Genomic DNA, 12483 nt, shown 5'->3' on the forward strand with positions numbered 1-12483 from the left:
AGTCACAGGGTTCTAAACAAACCATACCTTAAATCTCTCAGTAATGGCCAGCCACATCTGCAAGAAGCAGGCTGGGAAAACAGCTGAAGAATAACAGATATTTGTTTTATTTGTCAATTATGGCTCAGTAAAGCTAAAAAAAAATAGATACTTCTGTTATCAAGAAATTATTGCACTTGATTCAAGGCTGATATTAAACCATAGCAGACTCACTCAAGGTGGGGGGTGAGAGAAACAAAGAGATTACAAAACTGAAAAGAGGTGTTCATTTGCAGAGAACTAAGGGAGTATCCTTCAAACAGAAACTGGAAGCCAGAGATCTCTGAAGATAAGGATCATGAAATGTTGTTATTCCCCAGACAGAATGTATCCCACGTTTTCCACCGGCGTTGTTTTTGGTAAAGAAGGGTAAGTGGAAGGAAGTGATGAGGCTGAAAAATACCATTTGCTTCAATTCAGCCGCGAAGGATCCGCTACCTTTTGGTTCCTATTAAGTGAATTTAGCTTTAGCTTTCATGATAGCATTTTCCCAAAGGAGTCCTTTAGATCTGACCCCTACCCTCTTCGCAGCTAGACTGACATCAGGTGACGTTGCAAGTGCCCCCAGCCCACTAAGCGCTATCAGTAGGAATTGGCCCTCAGCCCCGTCACAGCGCTTTCCCATGACATCCCCCAGCTTCTCTCTCCTAGGACCTCCTCGCCAGCCTACCCCTACCTGTTGGGTAGGTCTTACTTGCTGGGAACACCTGCTGTCCTTAGAATGGGAGCAACCAACGCCTTGGAATCCTGGCCTGTCCCTTCCTCGTGAAGGGGGCGCCTGCGCTCAAGTGCCGGCTTCGCCGCCTCAGGCAGAGTCTAGCAGGCGGGCGACCAGGCGTAGCTGAGTTCTGTGGCCTGGGGAAAGGGGACGCCCTATCCCCACAGCCCTGTTTCGCAGGGCTTCAAGACGCTGAGAACGGCCGGGAACCCCTGGAGTCTTGGAGGCACCCGCCAATTCCAGGGGCCCACCCCAACCCCGCTCTCAGTCTGGGCCAGCGGCGGCGGGACAGGCGCCCGGTCCCCACACACCGGCTGAGACGCCCAGCCCACTGCGGCTGAAGCTCCGGCCGCTGTTGCGGCAGGTGCTGCAAACCGGTCTGCCTTCGCTGCAGGGCTTGCGGGGATGGGGCAAGTGGGTGGAGAGAAAAGGGGAAGAGCCTGGGCGGCCGGCAGGCGGGGCCTGCAGCCTCCCCAGCCGCGGCAGCCGCCGCGCAGCCGGCTCTCTCTGCGCCTCGCTCCGACTCCGGCGCGCACCAAGCGGGAACCCGCGCCCGAGCCCGGCGGGCGCCGCTGCTGCTCCTCTCGGTCCCCGGTTCCCGGTCCCCGAACGCGCCGCGGCGAGGCTGCGCCCGGCAGTGGAGCCGCTCGGAGCTGCTGGGCTTTGGCGGCCGCTCGCTGCTCCGTCTGGCCGGAGGACCGGCGGGGAAGGAAGGGGAAAGCGGGGACACACACACTCGCCGCGGCGCGCGCGCACTGCACACTCGTAGCCGCGCGCCCCCGCCAAGGCGCGTCCGGAGCGAGTTTGGCCCCGCGGCTCCAGCCCCGGCACCTGCCCGCCCTCAGCGTTGCCCCCGGCCCCGGCCCCGCCCGCCGCCCCCTCCGCCCTCCCGCCCCTCCCGCCCCTCCCGCCCCTCGCCTGCACTGCTCTCCCTTCGCTGTGGGGAAGCGACAACGTCCCGATAACTTGCAGACTGTGGCGCAACTGGTCTTGGTAGCGGAGGCACCCGAATGCTGCCCGGGTGAGGTAAGTTTCCTGTGCGTCCCCGGCCCCTTCCCACTAGACCCTTCTGAGGGGCTTGCGCTTAGGGGCTCTGCATCTCTGCTGAAACCCGTCGGTCTCTCTACCCTTCCACTTTGCCTGTCTGCGTTGTGCTGGGGGTGACGTGGAGAGGGCGCCCGTGGCCACCGAAGCGGACCTTCGTTCCGCGGGGGCCACAGCTGCGCGCTCCCAACGGACACCCACCCGCTCGTCACCCGGATCCCCGGGGCCGCAGTGACACTCGGAGATCACTCTGGGTTCACTTAAATAGGAGTACTCTCCCCTTTTCCGGGGAACCTGCAGAGTTTGGCAGCGGAAGGAAAGGTCTCCCACCACCCTCCCCCGGTACGAAACAGCGGTGAACTTGTTAGGCGCCCTGGTATCTCAAGAGGGGCTTGCGAGTTGGTGTTCTGCTCATTTCTGGCGCTGGTGCCGGATTGAACAGGTGCGGTATGGTTCCAGTCTAAATGCAGCAACAGACTTCTGCGTTTCCCAGGCTTTCTCCCCCAGCCTGGTCAACGTGACGCTTCAACATCTGGGGCAGGGGCTGGGAGTGTAGGGGCACTGGGGAGGGAGAATGCCCGGGTTTGATTTACTATGCCGGTGCCAGGAGTCGCCAGAACAGAAGAAAACAAATGTCTGCTTATCTGGCATCTATGCAGATGAGCGTGTTGTCATTTCTTATCCCCCCCAACCCCCAGCTCTCTTGTCTGGTGCCCAGCGTGGCTGAGTAGAAACCTATTCCGGAGAAGTTATTTGGGTAGATTGATTAATTCTTTCATCGAATCTACTGAAATCAGGGCTCCGAACAAGGCAATCCTAGTTACTCTGATGCTTTTTTAAAGGGAGCGTGTTACAGATCAGAAATAACACCCACTATCATCACTACCTCTCTGTGACATTCTCAGATGCAGGAGGCCCTAGCTTTAAGGGGAATGATCCTTAAGGGACCGGTAGGACCTCAGAATGTGTTAATCTCGTGCAAGGAAGAAGCGGTCTCTGTGTCAGTACTTCTGAGTCTCGGTTTGGGGAACCCCTTTTGTCCCTCTAATGAAGCACATTCAGCCAGAGACTTCTCCCCTGTTCTGCGAAGAGACTGAAGCGTTCTGCAGCTGTTGGAGTGGAGAAAGGCGAAAGGATTGGTTTCATTAGGACTCTAATGTGATGAAGTAAGGATGGGTTTCATTAGGACTCTAATGTGATGAAGTAGGGTAGTGTTCATGGAAGCTTTGCTAGAGCATTCCCAGCTGAAAGGAGACGCTGGGAAAAAACCTTAATCGGCCAAGTGTAAACCAGTGGGAGGTTGAGTGAGTTTCATGTGTGATCTCTGAGCGGAGGGAAACGGTGGTTCTGATATGGTCCTGTGGGCAGAGACTTATGAGGACTGATGAGAAAGCTGGTGAGTTTGAGACTGATGTATGATGACATCTTACCTGAGAAGGAAAACTGTGAAGCACTAAATGATAGAACCACATTACATTTTTGTCCACGTTAAGACTAGAGAGATTTAATAATAACACCTTACATTTGCATCAGTGTCTTGCAATTTGTAAATTCTTTTGAGTGTTCTCACCTAATTCCAAACATTTCTGAGGGAGGCAGGGCAAAGACTTTTTACCATGTAAACACAGAAGGAACATGAGGCTCACAGATTCAGAGATTTATCAAGGTAACAAGTGCTGGTATTAGAATCACAGTTAGGTTTTCTGTCATAACCAGGTGCCTGCTCTGTACTTATATAAGGTGGTTTTTTAAATGGCAGAGTTCTTCTGCATTTATTGTGGTCTGCATAGTCTCACTGTAAATTACTGTTTACATTTTACAGATGAGGAAACTGAGGTTTAGACAAGCAGTGGGAGTTTTCCATGGATTTACATCTCATTTAGTGGCATTTGCAAGACTAGAACTTGGATCTTCTGATGTCCAGTCCATTGCTTTGTGTATTCTGCCATCATTTCAGTTCTGATAGCAATGAGGACACATCATGGAAACTGCAATACACAAAGGACTGTTAAGCATGCCCCCAGTGACCTGGGTTCTAGTTCTGGGACTACATTTGGCCGTATGACCTGGGCCATCATATCACTTCCAAGTCTCAAGTGTCTCACATATAAAACAAAACGTTTGTATGAAATTATGTTTTTTCTTTCCAACTTTAGCATTTTGTGATGTTTACCAATGTGTTTGTAATCCAATGTTATCATTTTCTCTAGAGGAAGGAGACCTTTGTACCCCACATCACCTAAGAGACCTAGCTAATTACTCTTTCACCTTTAGTTTATCCCTTCCCCCCTTTACTACATGCCACTTCATCAAAGGAATGAAACTTAACAAGTGCGTTTTAGCTTAACATCTACAGTATATTGTTTAGTTTACTGTTTGACTTGAAAATATTCTGAGGGGTTAAAGTACTGTAAGGTACATGTCAGGGCTTACTTGAATATTCTAATTGTAAGCTCATAACTTTTTTTTTTTAGCTTTATGGTTTGCATAAAGTAAGTGCTCAGTAAATAGCTGTTGAATTAATGAAGGGGGTGAATGAAGTCATTCATAAGGAAAACATATGCTGTAAAACATAGAAAGCATCTTACCATGTAAATTCCCAACACATAAGATAATTTGCCTACAGGCATGTGCCTCCTGAAGCTGGCGGGTACAGAGCCCATTGTTGCTCTCTTTTCTGAAGGCATCATATAGGGAAGAGCTTTTCTTTCTCCCTAGACAGTAGACTCATGTCATCTATGTTATGCTCTTTTGTTTGCCGCCCCCCCGCCCCTTTAGTTGTTAGTATTACAGCTGCTGAAAGATACATTCCTAGAAATTGACTTGTCCCATTTTATGAAAGGGTATGTCTTGACATGGGGAAACCAACCATTCTGTTTTTAAAACAGGGTATTGAATAAATTTCAGGAGATGCTAATACTGTCTCGTGGTTTCAGAGGGGGAACCTAGTTAACAAAACCAACCTAGTTTCTGTTCCTTTTAACAATCTTCTCTTTCTACTCCTCCTCTTTATATACAGACAAGTAGTGTTTTTATGTTTGGAAGAATGATAAGAAAGAATATAGTGATCTTAAATATTATTAATGGATCTGCAATTTACATTGGGGATTGATGTATGTTTCCTTCTGATAAAGAATTTAAATATTAATTAGTTTAGAAGTACCGTTTATGGGTAAGAAAACTAAAACTTAGGTGAATTGACTTACTTATGGTCACAAAGATGATAGCAGGAGGACCAAGATCAATGTGGAATTCTTAAGAAGGTTCATATTTGAGTTTGTCCCAGGAGTTCTATGGTGAAGGTACAGTTTTGACTTTTAGAAATCATAGAGATTAACAGAAAACTTCTGTTTACTATCATTATTAGAGAGTTAGTACATTTGAAAATGGTTTAGCATTTATATGTTTAAGTTTTCTTGCCCAAGCAGATGCCATTAAAAATAACATGTTTTTTTCTCTTTACTTTTTTTTTGTTTTTTGAGTCAAGGTCTCATTCTGTTTCCCAGGCTGGAGTGCAGTGGCCCAACTCCAGCCTCAACCTCCCCAGGCTCAGGTAATCCTCCCACCTCAACTTCCTGAGTAGCTGCAACAACAGGCACGCACTACCATGCCTGGCTAATTTTTGTATTTTTGGCAGAGACAGGGTTGCACCATGTTGCCTAGGCTGGTCTGTAACTCGTGGATTCAAGCAATCCACAGGCATCGGCTTCCCACAGTGCTGGGATTACAGGTGTGAGACCCTGTGCTCGGCCAAAATGTTTGTTTTTATCTATTCACTATGATTCTTCTGGCTTATGTGCATCACCAGACTCAGAAATAATACTTTGCTCCAATCAGTGCTGGGAGAGAGGAAACTGTTCAAATAGAAACCAAAGACCTGTAATCCCATGGGAGGCCGAGGTGGGCGAATCACTTGAGCCCAGGAGTTTGAGACCAGCCTGGGCAACATAGCAAGACCCCATCTATGCAAAAATAAAAAATTAGCTGGGTATGGTGGCACGTGCCTGTGGTCCCAGCTACTTGGGAGGCTGAAGTGAGAGGATCACTGGAGCCTAGGAGTTCAAGGTTGCAGTGAGCTATGATCGCACCACTGTACTCTAGCCTGGGTGACACAGCAAGGCCTTGTCTCAGAAAAGAAAGGAAAAGAAACACAAATGTATGCTGGTATTCTCAACTTCTCTTCCTGATATATAAAGCCAGAAGCCAAAGGTAGCCTTGTCATGCAGCTGGTAAAGTCATAAATATGTATACATTCAATTTGCATTTGCATTTTGCTTGTACTTCTGTTAGATGGTGAGTCAGAACATTTAATATCCTGGAAATTTTTTTTTCCCCCTATGGCCAGAGCCTTCAGTAGATTCTGTAAAACATCAAGTCCTAAATGTATTTGTTGCTGAAACATGTTCTCTTTGTATCAAGTGCATTAATGGGAGTTGGAAGGAATCCTTCATTTTTTTTTAGAAGCTGGCCAGTTAGAACTGTACATTATGTAGCTCTACTGTTCATTTGTGGTCTTATCAATAGAGCAGGATGTGTTACTTTTTGCTGAGTGCCAGAGAACTGGGGTGGGAGGAAACCTAGGCTTCTGTTTTATTTTTTTTCTTTTTAAAAATCAACTTTAAACTTAATTTATGATGAAATTTTTGGGGTACTGTGTCGTAAACAATCAGCTGCTATTGACAGAGAATTGTATTCAGTCAGGTTCCTTTTCATATATAAGATTAGGTCAGGGAAAACAGGCTTGCTTTTGTACATTCTATTCTCAATTGTATTTACTTCTGTATCGCTTCATCAGAGGTATATAAAGGAGATAATCACACAGGAAAACACAGGAATCCTGCCCAAACTAGATTACTCTTGGAAAGATTTGAAACAGAGTGATTGGGACAAGGTTGCATGTTCAGTAAGCTGACAGTGCCTTGGTATTATCATTTTAAGTTAAAACAAACTAGCACTGGAATAAACAACATGAAGTGTGTGTTCTTGTAGGAAGTCTTCTGTATTGTTTATGGGACTCAATAAACAATGAATATGTAACATGTTTGGGTAATTTACATGATGGATGCACAGTAAGTTCTTGAGACTCATTTTCTCTAATGTTTTTAGAAAATCAATTGTGAAATTGCAATGAAATATAAAGCATTGAGGGTTTGGTATTGCTCCTGGTTTTAAAATGGGTGTGTATGTCTTTCAGTGGAAGTTCAGGCAAGGATTGGAATTGTAAGTACTAGGGGTCCAGAGATTATAATTATCTTGAATTGGAACTAAAGTTCAGACAGGACTGCAGAAAGTTCATTCAGTTTGTAAGAGAAAAGGTGATATTTAAGCCTTCACCATTCAGTCATGCTGAGCAAGGGGTTTGTGGGGGAGGATAAAATTAGAGCGAGCCATAAAAATGTGCTTTCCTTGCTTCGTAGACAGACTTAAGACATGCAGTGGATTCGACATGTTTCATAGTGGGCTTTTAATTTAATATACACTTTTTTTCTTTCTTTTTTAAACCATGCCCATCATTGTGCTCTCTGGATCACTTGATCATATGTTTGGTAATAAAGTAAGGAAACAAAACAGCAACAACAATTAAAAAGCAATGCAACGACCTCCTTGAGGGAGTAGTAAGCACATCATAGGTGTTCAGCAAATATTTGACAATGGAAAAGGTTAAGCATCATGTTTTATTTATATTTGTATTCTTGGAACTTGGCACTGTGTCTGGCAGGTGGTGAGGATTTAATGAGTGTTTACTGAACAATTTATATATCCAAATGAATATCACTCTTCAAAATCTTGGGATGTTCCATAATTATTCTAATGATTCTATTATTTTTCGAACCATTTTAGAAATATTAGGCAGTCTGATAGATGCTAATGTTGATAGTTTATAGTAGTCCTTTTTTTAAATCATAAATTATATTTATTCACTAGACTACAACTTTTTTAACCAAAATGCCTAGGAATAATTTTGCATTATTTATCTTCTTTAGGAGAAAAATAAATACTAAATATATTCTGTTTTTATTTGAAAGTATTCAGTAAGCGTAGTTCTCAAATGCCCAGAGTGGCTTAATAGTGAGTTTGGTTCAGGGTACAGAGACAAGAATGGACTTTAAGCTTCTCTAAGTTAATCAGCTTAAATATCACCTCCTCCTGGCGACTTTTCTGTTCTTCCAACCTAAAGGAGACCTTCTCCATATGTTTTGTTCACTTGTCACAGGGATACTGATACAGTTTTGACGTTTGTCCCTTCCAAATCTCAGGTTGAAATGTGATTCCCCATGCTAGAGGTGGGGCCTGATGGGAAGAATTTGAGTCATATGGATGGATCCCTCATGAATGGCTTAGTACACTCCCCATGGTAATGAGTGAGCTCTTGCTCTATGAGTTTACATGAGATCTGGTTGTTTCAAAGCGTGTGGCATCTCCTACCCCTCCCTTGCTCCCTCTTTTACATGGACTCCCCCTTCACCTTCCGCCATGACTGTAAGCTTCCTGGGGCCCTCTCTCACCAGAAGCAGATGCTGGCACTGTGCCTTATGTACGGCTTGCAGAACTGTGAGCCAAAATAAAACCTCTTTTCTTTATGAATTATGCAGCCTTAGGTATTCCTTTATGGCAATGCAAAAACAGATTAACACGGATACTTATTCATTTATGTATTTCACTTGTTTCCCTGTGTCCAAACTCACATTCAACCCAAGATTATAAACTCTTTGAGGGCAGAGGCCATGGTTCATAACACTGTTTTTCTAGTGTTTGGCACATGGTAGGTCCTCAGTAAATATTTAAATGAATACATGAATAAGCCCCATCCATCCTGTCAAGATGAAGTGGGCCATCATTTAGGTTACTCAAGCTGAATCAGACTGAGAGGACAGTGCTTACGTGTTAGCTATGGCAGCTCCTTTACAATGATGACCGAACCCTTTAGGATGAGAAAACCACTTGTTTAGATGATAAATTCTGGCATGATTATTAAGAAAACACTGTCTCTATTTAAAGACTGATTTCTTCCATTTACTTAGAAATGAATAGTAGTGAACAAAGAAGAGGAAATTATCAAGCACAAAACAAAACGTTGCTACACTGTTAAAATGGGCTCTAAATGTACCTAAATCATAAACATATTCATTCCTAATTAAGACACTTTGGTGTTCATATACAAGGCAATTCCTATGATGCCTCACATAAAGGTGGTATTTGAGCTGGTATTTATTTGAACATCAGCTACATCAACAGTCCCAATACCATGGAAGAAGCCAGGGCAGTGACTCTGAAAGTGCAGTCCTTAGACCAACAGAGTCATCACTACCTGAGAATTTGTTAGAAATGCAGATGAGGCCAGGCGCGGTGGCTCACAACTATAATCCCAGCACCTTGGGAGCCCGAAGCAGGTGGATCACCTGAGGTCAGGGGTTTGAGACCAGCCTGGCCAACATGGTGAAACCACATCTCTACCAAAAATACAAAAATTAGCTGGGCATGGTGGCAGGTGCCTGTAATCCCAGCTACTTGGGAGGCTGAGGCAGGAGAATCGCTTGAACCCGGGATGCAGAGGTTGCAATGAGCCAAGATCGCACCATTGCACTCCAGCCTGGGTGACAAGAGTGAAACTCCGACTCAAAAGAAAAGAAAAGAAAGAAAAGAAATGCAGATGAACTCTATGGATGGAGGACAGGCCTTCGGGTGATTCTGCTGCATACCCAATATTGCCAGTACATAGTAAATCTGTTGCTCCAAGTATAAGCCTCCTGAAGTGTTCAGTATTCCCAGGTAAACCCAGGATGTGTTGAGGGAGTGCTATCTGCCTGCTCCTTCAGAAATATGAGGGGAGAAATGAAAAATTCTCCCTCTGCCAGTCTTGGCTTTTCTCAGAACTGTGCGGATCACAGGAGAGCAAAGTATTGTGAATAGATTGGGTATCTAGGACTTTAGATACAATATAAAAAAGCTTTTGGTAGTCACAGAGCCTGCCAAGTGATGGGTATTATGGGGTATACAGAAAGTGTTAATATAAACATGGTCCTGGCTGTCAAGGAGGCTGACTGTGCTGAGAGCTTACTCTGTTCCAGGCACTCCTCAAGTGCTGTTTCTTTTCATCACCATGTGCTTCCAAGCTGCAGCATTTCTTCACTGAAGAGAAGGAAAGGGAAACCTAGTCAGGTTAGTAGTAACTTGTACCAGAGCACAGAACCAGTAAGGGATGGCACAAAGGTTCTAGCCCTGGCTTTTCTGACTATGAAGCCCATACTCTTTTTCTCTGTTTCATGGTGTAGCACCTCAAAGTACAGTTTTGAAATAAGAGTTTTAAAAAGGAGAACATAAGCGAATCTAAAATTTATATCTCCAAACTAAGTCTTTCTCTGAACTCTAGTTTGCATAATTGACATTGCGCTTGGATATCCCAAAGGCACCTCAAATTCTACATGTTCAAAACCAGAATCATGATCTGTTTTCTCCACATCTGATACTCCTGCAAGGTTCCCAGCTCTGTGGTGGGCACCGCTAGTCACCAAGTAGCACGATCAGAAACTTGGGAGCCATCCTTGGCTCCACCCTCTGCACACACCACATCTAATCCATCACCAATGTCTATTGATTTTGCTTCCTGAATATCTTTCCCATTCCATCTGCTTCTCATCATTTGTGCGGATTCTATCCTAGCCCAACTTCTTGTCTCTCTGCAGGACTGAGCCAGAACCTCTCTGGTATCCTGAGTCCACTCTGGGTCTCCTAGAATCCATTACCCATATTGTAACCAGGGCACTTGTGATGGTTGGAGGGCACCTGAGGCTCTGCTGGCCAGATCTCTGCTTCCTGTACCCTGCCAAACCCTCACGGAAGCACACAAATTCTGACCCCAGGGCTCTCCACCTCAGTGGCCTTTTGAGCTCTTGGACAGCCTCTGAGGACTTGTTTTTCCAAGTAGCTTTCTACCCTGATGTTTTTGCTCTCCTGGAGTCCAGTCAGAGGCAGGTTCATAACTACAGTCAACTACTTTTAAAGGAACAGGATGGAAACTCCAGTGTAGCTCTAGGGACTTGCCCAACCCTACCGCAAATACCAAGTTCTTAAGAGTTCTCCGGCAGTTCCCAAGGTGCACTCCACTCACTCCAACAAAGAACCAAAGACTGCTCTACTTCCACAGTTGCTTATACTCTGCCCCTGAGTTCCCCCAGGACCCTGCAATATCACATTTGTGGCCACCATAGCAGAGAAATTCACCACCTGTGGTCTAGGAATAAAATCTAAGCCTCTCCCAAAAGGCACCTGTCTCTGACTGTTGACTGTGGCTTATCCTGGCAGCTTTGAGGAAAAGGCCTGGGTTGCTTTGCATAACTGGCAGGATAGATAAAGAAACATGACTCAAAATCATTCTCTCTGTATTTCCTCATAACAGGAACCAGTTGACATGGGTGCAGGAAAAACTTCCTGACCAAGGAGTGGGGCCTGGGGCTGGGGGTGCTGGACAGAGAGAAGCACAGGGATCTGCCCCAGACTCTTCAATGGCCTCCCTTTGTGCCTGGAGTGAAGATGTGGGTCATTGACATGGTTCCAGAGCCCTGCACGGTCCTGGTCCTGCTGCCACTCCAGTCTCAGATCCACCACTCTGCCCCTTGCTGTTTCTGAGCCACACTTGCAACTGCCAGCTTCACACCCTCTGTGCAGCACTCTCGTTGCCCCCTTTGGAATGTTCTCAGCATCGGTCGACCACGCTTCAGGTCAATTCTAAGGTTACTTTTGAAAGGAGGCCTTGGCCACCCATCCCCAGTCTAGGACAGGACCAGTGGTTCCCTCTCCAGGAGGGCTTCAACAGTATGATTATTTGACTAGTTTCCTCGCCCCCACCAGCTGCTAATCATCAGGGCCCATTGCATCCCCATAGTGTCGGCACATGTAGAATTGTCTTGAGTGAATAAGTAAATGAATACCAATACTTCTACCTTAAAAAAATCCTTTTCGTAAATTCCCACTAAAGAAAGGAAATGCACAGAGATCATGAATGAACCACTTCATATTGCCGATCCTGTCCATGAACTTGATCTTCAACTTTCATTACCACTGCCTAATTTCACCTGTCATGAGCCGCATTTCTATAATGGTAGCTGCAGGTATTATCCCCAAGGAAGGTTGCCCCAAAGGCATGATATAAAATATTTCTGGAAGAATACCTGAGATACTAGTGTCTTTGTTTGCCTCTGGGGAGGTGAATTGGCTAGCTGAGGGGCATGGATGGGAGGGGAATTTTCATCCCATATTTATTTGTACCTCTGAATTTGGACCCATATGTGTGGATTACTTATTTTAAAAATTAGAATTGTAAAAGTAAAAGGAAGGAAAGCAGAGCAAGAGATGTGAAGGAATGGGAATGATTATTTAGAGGAAAGAATATGGACATGCAGTTGAAAGGGGGTTGTCCTGAAAAGAATTCCTGTCTTCAAGGATACAGCCAGTTACATCTGACTTGCTCTGCACATCTATGGAGAACTATATGGCTTCAACTTAAAAGGGATGCCATAACATATAACTTGACTTAAATAGGTTTGTCTGATCTCTCCCATCACAGAATATAACATTTATTCTAAATATAAAAGCTAATAGAACCTAATTATTTAAGAGGGAAGCAGTTGTTAAGGAAGAAGTTAGTTGGAGGCTAAAGCATTCTCCTTGAAGACATAGAAGTG

General features: G+C 45.1%; 1 protein-coding gene across 11 annotated transcripts in view, besides 4 other annotated features; it reads left to right on the forward strand.

Annotated features, from left to right (window-relative positions):
- Positions 775–1700: an enhancer, noted in NCBI's record as "H3K27ac-H3K4me1 hESC enhancer chr9:71319670-71320595 (GRCh37/hg19 assembly coordinates)". NCBI's record gives its function as "activates a minimal SCP1, AML or CMV promoter by ChIP-STARR-seq in primed H9 embryonic stem cells {active_cell/tissue: H9 hESC(primed)}" and the evidence as "EXISTENCE:reporter gene assay evidence [ECO:0000049][PMID:30033119]".
- Positions 1119–1638: a silencer, noted in NCBI's record as "silent region_19929". NCBI's record gives its function as "represses an Ori minimal core promoter by ATAC-STARR-seq in GM12878 lymphoblastoid cells {active_cell/tissue: GM12878}" and the evidence as "EXISTENCE:reporter gene assay evidence [ECO:0000049][PMID:35858748]".
- The window catches only part of PIP5K1B (phosphatidylinositol-4-phosphate 5-kinase type 1 beta), a 303937-nt gene continuing 292714 nt past the window's right edge, over positions 1261–12483 (forward strand). For 7 of the 11 annotated variants that reach the window (XM_017015189.2, XM_047423951.1, NM_003558.4 and 4 more), the window contains exon 1: positions 1261–1783. The gene's annotated coding sequence lies outside the window, so the exon portion shown is untranslated. Of the gene's footprint in view, positions 1784–2000; positions 2244–12483 lie in introns of those variants that run through there. The other 4 variants (NM_001376036.1, NM_001376041.1, NM_001376039.1 and 1 more) reach the window with 2 other exon arrangements.
- Positions 2389–2478: an enhancer, noted in NCBI's record as "active region_28439". NCBI's record gives its function as "activates an Ori minimal core promoter by ATAC-STARR-seq in GM12878 lymphoblastoid cells {active_cell/tissue: GM12878}" and the evidence as "EXISTENCE:reporter gene assay evidence [ECO:0000049][PMID:35858748]".
- Positions 2929–3078: an enhancer, noted in NCBI's record as "active region_28440". NCBI's record gives its function as "activates an Ori minimal core promoter by ATAC-STARR-seq in GM12878 lymphoblastoid cells {active_cell/tissue: GM12878}" and the evidence as "EXISTENCE:reporter gene assay evidence [ECO:0000049][PMID:35858748]".

The sequence above is a fragment of the Homo sapiens genome, chromosome 9 (assembly GCF_000001405.40).
Source record: "Homo sapiens chromosome 9, GRCh38.p14 Primary Assembly".
Taxonomy (NCBI): domain Eukaryota; kingdom Metazoa; phylum Chordata; class Mammalia; order Primates; family Hominidae; genus Homo; species Homo sapiens.